Raw genomic sequence first — 9,653 nt, 5'->3', positions numbered from 1 at the left:
TTCTATTTTATTCATTTCTGCTCTTATCCTTATTATTTTATTCTTTCTGCTTACTTTGTTTTATTTCCTCTTTTTATCATGTAAGTTGAAAGCTTTATTGATTTTAGACCTTTCTTCTTTTCTAATATAAGCATTTAGAGCTATAAATCTCCCTCTAAGCACTGCTTTTGCTGCATCCCATAAATTTTGATATGTCATATTTTCATTTTTATTATTTTCAAGATGTTTCCTAATTTCCCTTGTATTTTTTTCTCTGCTGCATAAATTATTTAGAATTGTGTAGTGTAATTTCCAATAATTAGGAATTTTTCAGGTATCTATTTTTGATTCCTAATTAAATTCCCCTGTGGTCAGATATTATACTCTGAATGATTTCAATTTATTGACACTTGTTTAATGGCCTAGAATATGGTCTATCTCAATGATTATTCTATGTGTATTTGAAAAGAATGTGTATTCTGCTGTTGTTGGGTAGAGTAGACTACAAATGTCAATTACATCAAGTTGGTTGGTAGTGTTGTTCAAGTCTTCTGTCCTTACTGATTTCTTGTCTACTTGTTCTATTGATTATCAAGAGGGAAGTATTGAAACCTCTGACTATAATTGTGGATTTGTCTATTTTTCCTCACAGTTCTATTAGTTTTCACTTCATGTATTTGGAAGCTGTGTTATTAGGTGTCATTAAGGACACACTTCTCTAGCTGGAAAGAAGTCAAATGACTTCCAGGCCTTTGAGAACACTGTGAATTGTTTGGTTTACAACTCCCCAGTCATTTCGTTATGAAGCTTCTTTGGAATTTCCCCCTATGTCTTCATGATGACTTATTCAGCAACGATCTCAAGGGCAACCCTACCCCTACGCAATTTTCTGAAGCTCTCTCTCTCTCTTTTGTTAGTAGAATTCCCCCTCCTGCAACTCTGCTATTCCAATCCCAGCTGTTCCCACCTTCTGAATTTCTAATCTTTCAACTTGGCAAGACTGCCACACTCTGCTTGGCCATGCCACACCACCATATGAAAAGTATCCTAGGCAGAAAGCTAGTACTATTGCAGAGCTCATCTCATTTTTCTCAGGGTTCAGAGCACTGAATTACCTGTTGTTGTTCAATGACTACAAACAATTGTTCATACATTTTGCTTAGAGCGGGAAGGTATGTCTAGACCCAGTTACTCCATCATGATTAGAAACAGAAGTCAGTAACGTTTGAAAAGAGGCCAAAGTACTACAATATTCACAAATTATAGCTTACATAAACTAAGGTGAATTTTAAAAGGAGAAAATCCATTGAAAAATACTGGAAATATTTAGATTTCAAGAGTTTCAGGAACTCTGAAAAATAGTTTAACTAGTACCCCTGACATCAAGGGTTGATTATTCTGTTTGAATTAAGCCAGAGCTAATATTCCTAAGGATTCTAGTGATTCTTGCCAGCTTTTAGGATTTCAGCAAGTAGTGCTTATTTATTCATTCATAAATAATACATTTACATATATCTCACATTAATTATGACCCATTTCATAACTTAGTATGCATTCATTCATCTTCTTTCTCCAGGGATAATAGATGTAAAGCAGAAATGCATTCCATGTTATGTATTTGCATTATGTGAATGTTCAGAAAAACCCAGTCAAACTTTCATATATTAGTTACAGATAAATAATGGAATCTTCAGGAACTCTTTTTTCTTTCCTATGTCTGCTGAATATGACTCCTTCCCAGTGGCTGGTCCTACCATCACCTGGAAAAAAACTCTTCAAAGCTTCTGATCTACTTCTTTCCTCAATTTTTACTTCACCCCATGAGGCAGAGTTAGGATTTATGGTAGGAGGATAAAAGGAGAAAAGAGAATAATCATGAATAATATTAGCAATGAATGTTAAGCACTTTCAATATGCCATATATTGTGTTCATTAGTCAGTATTGCCTAGGTTTGCTGTGATAACAAGCAATCCCCAAAGCTCAGTGACTTATAACTTGTAATAACAAAGGTTTCTTTTTTGCTATTTTAGATCTTTATTGTATGCTGGCTCTGATTTTAGTCTATATTTTCTTTACTATGTGACTTTGAGGAATGGAGCAATAGCTGTCTGGAACATTGCAGGTCATTATGGTAGAGGGAAAAGAGAAACATGACAAATGGTGTATTGGCTCTTCAGTCTTCTTCCTCAAAATGTCATGTGTCACATTCACTCATATTTCATTGGTTAAATCAAATCTCATGGCCTAGGCTGACATCAGTGGGGTTGGGAAGTCTAATGCTCCCCCAGGGAGAAACACCAAATATTTGTGAACAATAAAGTAGTCTACTATACTGTACTAAGCACTCAAATATTTTCTCCTTTTGTCTTCATAACAGCCTTCTAGAAATAGGTACTATTATTGTTTTATTTTAGAGATGAATAAACTAAGGCTCAGAGAGTAACCTGGCAAAAGTCAAACAATATGAAATGGTAAGGCGTGGTCCCAGATTGTCTGACCCTACTGTAATTGTATTATACTGCCATCAAATGAGAAAAGGAAAAGAAAGGAGCTGGGAAGGAATGAGCAGAAAGAAAGGAAAGGAAGCAAGATATTAAAAATAATTGCAAACTACTTCTTAAGGAAATCAGATGCAGTGATAAGAAAGGGGTAAGGAAAAGTAAATGGGAAAGATGAGAGAAAGGAAAATGTTCTTTTATCTTATTGCTTGCCAGTCCACCTGCATATATCCATCCTGCATCACATGCCTTTATCTTATGCCATCCCAAGAAAGCCCAGCTCCTGTCTCTCCACATTCCAAAGTCTCTAACCCCATGACCTACCTCGAGGTTCCCCAGAGTCCTAGTCTATTTTAATTGATTGTTCTTTTTATACTGTGCAAAAAAGTGAGTTAAACTTATAAATTTAGCATTGACAAAAAACATTTCTATTCTTTATACCTGGCATGTTATAAAAATGCAAACACTTGATACTTTTCTATTGTTGCCTTTGGAAACATGCATATTAGTGATTTGTATCTGCCCTTTGAATAAAAACCAGTATCCAAAGTTTTCTGAAGCAATTCTGTGAGAACGGAAGGTGAATATAGCTCATTAATATAACTTTAAAATTACATTAAAGTGGGAAAAGAAACTGGAAAATATCACTAGCGTTAACGAAAAAGCTTAAAATCTGTGTTCTATAAAATGCTCATACAAAATGAGCTGAGGAAAGAGATGCCTCTTCCAAGAGGAACTAACCAGTAAACAAATACATGGAAAGGATTTCATCCTCACTAGTGGTAAAAGAAATGCAAATTAAAACAAAAATGAGGACTATTTTGTGTTTATTAAAGGGGCACACAACTCTTTCAATGTCACCACTTGATTATGAGTTGTTTTTTCAGTGAAATTATTATAATCTTAAAGTGTTGTTGATACTTCTTGTAGGAACTATGTGTAACATATAACAAGCTTGTATGGGTTAAATCATACTGTTTAAGCCTCTACTTTCCCGAAAATGAACCATGAGCTTGTCCCAGCATTCCAGTGGGGCTGCTGCAGTGGCTGGATACATTTCTGATGGAGAAATGTCTATCTCAAATGTAAAAGGTGGGAGGCTGTGGGTGGAACCTTCAGAGTTCCTTAGTCACTAGAAGAAATAAAAACCTCCTCATATCCAGGGTTTTGACCTTTGATCCTACCTCTTAGAATAGATTCTGAACAAGTAATTCGTAAGGGAAAAAAAGCCAAATAGACAAAGATTCGCTGCATTATTTCTTATAGAAAAGATTATGAAATGTATGTTGGACAACAGGAAAATAATGTAAAAGATGATGTAGCTATTAAAATGTAGATTACAAGGACTACACAGCAACATGGAACATGCTTCTGAAATTGTATTAATTGAAAATGGCAGAAGGCACCCACTGTGATTATCCACAATGGCTAGAAAAGATCAGGGCCAAACAAAAAGTTGGATTTGCTGAGGTGACAAGATTGTAGGCAAAAGTTTTCTTTCAGTTATTTAGATTTATTGTGTAATACAGACAGAATATTTATGTAATTAGAATTTTATTTTCAGAGTAAAAGAGAAATAGGATACTGTGACCCTTTCCTACTCTTATTGGAGGCTTCAGGATTTCACTATAATGCAAAGCTCCAAATCAAGCTCAGTTTTGGTATTTTCTGATAAATATTAGAAGCTCACTCCTAATTTGAAATGGTCAGCCTTTTTCATAGGATGGTTTATGTGTAGATAAGTAGCTCTTACATTAATCCAATTAACTTGGAAGATTGTAGGCAGGAATGTACACCAATCATAGTGTCCACTTGTTAAATTTTTTAAATTACAGGACAAAGCATAGGAGAAAATGGCATTTTAAAATTATGGTATTCACATTTAAAAAATACTCAATATATTTTTGTTTTCAACCATGTTTCAGGTGATGAATCTCTACATTTAAGGCAGTGGATTTAGCTGTAAATCTGAAACAAGAAGTGCACAATTTCACCTGTGTTTCCAGACTTCTGGATGCTCTTGTAGTGTTTTTATTGTACTTTTTTCAGATCAACAATTGGACCCATTGCATTATTTTTAGAGATGCTTCACCTGAAAGGCGGTCTGGAGGTTGAAGAAAAAAATATTCAGCATATTATTTGGAAATATAACTAAAATATTGTTTAAAACAAATTCATCCTATGTATCCTCACTATTTTGAACACACTGTCTTACCCTTAGCACTGTATCTATCTCATCAACAGCAAAAATAGAAAAGCCAGACATAGTCTTCTATACTGGGGGGATGGCAGAGCAGAGCAAGGGAGGAGGGGGAAAATAAACCATAACTTCTTGTGGCTGTTCTGGCTGAGGAAAGTTAGGTTTCAACAGCAGGCTTGAAATGAGTTATAGGCTCACTGATGGAGGGGGATGGGTTGAGGGGAGGAAACTATTTTCTGCTCTGGGCTCCCACACTCAACAGGGGAATGGGAAAAGAGTTATGTGCCCTCCAGTACCTCCGAGAACAGCTTTCTTAGTGTTCACCTACTGAGCTTGAGGCAAATTTTCAAGATAGATGATCTAGTTCCTCCTCTCTGTTTAGTGGCTGCCCCTACCCTCAGAGATAGCTGTGCGGAAACCGCATGAGTGTGTGTGTAAGTGCAGGCACGCATGTGTTTGCGTGGAAGGTGGGAGTGGTAGCAGAGGCAGGGGAATGAGGAAGGAGAGGAAAATCTCAGAGAGAATAATGAGGCTGTTGAGTGTGGGAGCCCAGTGCAGAAAATATTCTGGTGCTTGAGAGAGAACAGGAAGGAGTGTGTATTTGTGTATGTTTCTTTTCTTAGATCGTTTCATTCAGGAGGCATCTCCCTGGAGACTGAGGAAATTGTAGGAGTCCCCTGGGGTACTGTCAGCTCTACTTGCTGAGCTTCTGGAGAAAGAGTGAAATACTAGGTAAAGGAGATGCCTCCAGCCGGCTTCCAGGCAGAGGCAGTACTGAGAAGAAGGTGCAGGGAGGTGAGAGGGACCCCTGCCCTGAATAAATTGGAGATATTTCCAGATGTGCTCCCTCCCCACACTCAGCCTCGCTGTGCTAGCTCTCGTCAGGAAGGACAGTAGGATTGTACCATGACTCCCTGAAGCTCTAGGTTGGCAGGAGGGATGCTCCTCACGGTATGCGCTCACCTTCCTTGCTCTGGCCATAACCACTAAGCCTCCCAGCTTCAAATAAGAGCCATTCCTGTGACAACTGCTAAGTCCAGGGAGTGGTTGGAGGGCTGACACTTTCCCTCCTAGGGACTTCAGAAGCCCTGTGGTCTGCCAAAGACTGTCCCTGGCCCTCTGTCCATTCTCCCGAAAGGACTGCCTGCCAGAAGCTTAGAACCAGCAGCCACTAGGGCAGAGGAAGCCTGTGAGTTTGAAATGCCTCACCACACATTTGCAACAGCCTTCTTTGCTACTCTTTTTCATTGCAAATGTGAAGTAATCCATCTGCATTCTTGCTTCTGTGGTCCTATTTATATCATTGTTTCTGGAGAAAGTGTGCTCTATGTTGCAAAAAACAAAAAAAAACCCTGATAAACAAACATCTGAAACACAGACTCTTTAAAGAATAATGTCTTGTAGCCTCTGGGAATGCCACCTATTTACTAAAACAAACATGTCTCACGCATCCTATGCCAGGCTTTGAAACACTGTCAGTGCTTTCATAAACTGGGTCACTGCGGCTAGTGCTCTGGGATGTACAATGACAGGGCAGGAAGTGCCCTTGAATTACACAGTGAGACCCTCTAATTCTCTTTCCTTCTGATTACAACAAGGAGGTTGTTTCAGTTTGGAGCTGATGGATTTGAACACCTTTCCAACACTTGCTTGTTACTATTATTACTGTTTTAACAGGCCATATGTTCAGAGCTTTTTGGCAGGTTTCTGGCTAGAATTTAATTTGTTTGCTTTGTTTTTGTTGCATTTATTTTTGTAATTAACTTCTGTTCATGGCCATTGATATTGGTCTTCCCTTTATGTTGTGATCATGTATTTTAAAAAATAAACTGAAGTCAGACATAAAAGTTCTATTTAAAGAAAGAAATAGTTATGATGTTGTGCAACGTGGCAAAAGCATGTTCAAAAATTTGGGAAACCCAGCGTTCACATATTATAGAGCACCTTGATAAAGTACTGAAAGCAAACTCATTAAAACAGTGTTTCTTGCTACCCATAGGGAACAACTAGGGTTTTTTTTTTAATTGTTTTTAATTTATCATGACCAATTGCTGCTGTAAAATATAATAAAAATGAATTATTATAAACATTATCATGTGCTTGGGTTTAAGGACAATGTCATGTTGCTATATAAGTTATTAAATGCTTACTTTCTGTTTCTGCACTTACCTTGCCACAAAATTCTTACAACCCCCCACGGACCAGCATCCCATCACACTTTGTTATTTATTTATGTATTTATTTATTTATTTTTTAAGATGTAGTCTCGCTTTGTCTCCCAGGCTGGAGTGCAGTGGCACCATCTCAGCTCACTGCAACCTCCGCCTCTTGGGTTCAAGTGATTCTCCTGCCTCAGCCTCCCGAGTAGCTGGGATGACTACAGGCACACTCCACCATGCTGGGCTAATTTTTTTATATGTTTAGTAGAGATGGGGTTTTGCCATGTTGGCCAGGCTCTTCTTGAACTCCTGACCTCAGGTGAGCCTCTCACCTTGGCCTCTCAAAGTGCTTGGATTACAGATATGAGCAACTGCTCCTGGTTCCATCACACTTTGGAAGTAGAAGGTGAGTTCTGCCTAAGCAAAATCAAGCAAGTTAATCCTAAAGATAGTTCAGAGGGAATACTGGCCTACCCAGGTTGAGAAAGCCCTTCACAGTTGTTTTATTTTTAGTACCATCTAGACATTCTTTCATTTATCCAACAGAGAGTATCTACGATGTGCAAGATATTACACAAAACCCCAGGAGGTAGGGGTTGAGGGGAGTAGAAAAGGATGACTACAACAAGAGATAAGTTAAAAATAAATTAATTAAAACCCCAGGAAGCTTATAATGTAATACTGAAGACAGAATATATATTACAAAGCAATTGGTTGTCAGGACCCATGAGTAAGAGTCTAAATATAATAGAAATGTAATGTAATAGAATCAGTACTGAGCTAATTCCATGCACTTCCCTGTTCTCTAATGCCTCAGAGAGATATCCTCAAGGCAGGTGGGTGAGGTGGGCACTGCTGTCCCTGGATCAAGCAAGTGGAGGATGGTCATTAGCCAGAATGGCTAAAATCCTTCTGAGGGAGGCCTTTAACATCCATCATGGCAATAATTCAATCTAGGAAGTTTAGTTTTTTTATTTTCCACAAGGCCATCATGAAGACAAGCAGGAGTGTGAGAATTTGTAAGCCATAATTTGCAAATGTAAATTAACAAGGCTGCATTTCTACAATTTTTTGTTTGCCTGGATTGTCTCTGACTGCAACTTTGTCTTGGTGAACAGATCTGCCCATTCCACCCAAATGGGAAATCCCCTTGCCTGTTCCCAGTACTGAGTAGACCTGGGGCTACCCATGGCTGAGTGCAAAATAGAAGACAAGCCACTGGACCTTAGAAATAGTGCATGAGGGGCCAGGTATGGTGGCTCACATCTGTAATCCCAGCACTTTGGGAGGCCAAGGTGGGCGGATCACCTGAGGTCAGGAGTTGGAGACCAGCCTGGCTAACATGGTGAAACCCTCACCTGTACAAAAATACAAAAATTAGCTGGGTGTGATGGCAGTTGCCTGTAGTCCCAGCTACTGGGGAGGCTGAGGCAGGAGAATCGCTTAAACTCAGGAGGCGGAGGTTGCAGTGACCCGAGATCATGCCACTCTACTCCAGCCTGGGCAACAGAGTGAGACTCCATCTCAAACAAACAAACAAACAAACAAAAAAAGAAAGAAATAGTGCATGAGTTGAAGTCTAGGGAAGAATAGAACTATTGAAACTGTTCTCATTTTAAAGGAACCTTCTGTGTGCAGTAGGAAGTACTATTTGGGTTATGGAACAAAAATATGTAAATTCATGATTTTATAATTTGGTAAAAGGTGTTAAAATATTCACAGGAAAGGCTAATAAAATGTATATGAAATACAACAAAAAATACAAAGAGATGACAAGATCAATTTGCCAAATTCATTTATTCATTCCCCAAAACATTTATTGAATGCCTACTATATGCTAGGTGCTGTTTCAGTGCTACGGATCAATGAAAACAAACAAACAAATGAACAGACAAATTCCTGCTCACGTACAGCTTACATTCTAGGGTGGGAGACAGATAAAACCAAGTTAACTGAATATATAGCATGTTAGATGTTGACAAATGCAATAGATTTGATACCATCTAACAACAGATAAAAAGAAAATATGGAATGTAAGGAACTGTGCATGAGGGAGAAAGGGAAATTAGTGTTTTAATAGGGGGACCTGGGAAAGCCTTGCTAAGAAGGTACCACTTAAGTAAAGATGTGATGGAGTTGAGGGAGTGAGCCATGGTGATATCTGGGGGAAGAGCCTTGTGGGAAGAAGGAATAGCAAGTCCAAAGGTCTGAGACAGGGTCATGCCAAAAAGGTTCCAGGAAGAAGAAAGAAAAAGAAAAAAAGGAAGGAGGGAAAAAAGGAAAGAAGGAAGGAAGAAAAGAAGGAAGGGAGGGAGGGAGGGAGGGAAAGCCCTTCACAGTGTTTTTATTTTTAGTGGCATGTAGACATTCTTTCATTTATCCAGTTCTTTCATTTATTCTTTCACCTTTCCAAAGAAAGAAAGGAAAGAAAGAGAAGAAAAAAAGAAAGACAGAAAAAAGAAAGAAAGAGAAAGAAAGAAACAAAGAAAGAAAGAAAAGAAAAGAAAGAGAAAGAATCAAAGCAACAAACAAAAAACAGGACAGAATGATTGGAGCACAGTAAGTAAGAGAGAGGGCTGTAGGGAATGAGATCAGAGGGGCAATCAGAAATTACAAGATGTGGGAAAGACTTTGTTGGCCATTGCAGTGACTTTGACTTTGTGTGGGGTGAGATAAGTAGCCATCAGGGGATTTTGAGCAGCAAAGTGACAATGCTCTGACTTACATTTTGAAGATCACTCTGGCTGCTGGCATGAGAATGGACCATAGAAGAGCAAGAGTAAAAAAATAGGGAGAGCAATTAGGAGTGTAATGCT

The 9,653-nt window shown here is 38.5% G+C and overlaps 1 annotated feature.

Moving 5' to 3' along the window:
* Nucleotides 849-898: a silencer, noted in NCBI's record as "silent region_14835". NCBI's record gives its function as "represses an Ori minimal core promoter by ATAC-STARR-seq in GM12878 lymphoblastoid cells {active_cell/tissue: GM12878}" and the evidence as "EXISTENCE:reporter gene assay evidence [ECO:0000049][PMID:35858748]".

Source organism: Homo sapiens, chromosome 3 (assembly GCF_000001405.40).
Source record: "Homo sapiens chromosome 3, GRCh38.p14 Primary Assembly".
Classification (NCBI taxonomy): domain Eukaryota; kingdom Metazoa; phylum Chordata; class Mammalia; order Primates; family Hominidae; genus Homo; species Homo sapiens.
This window is presented reverse-complemented; position numbering and strand designations above follow the sequence as displayed.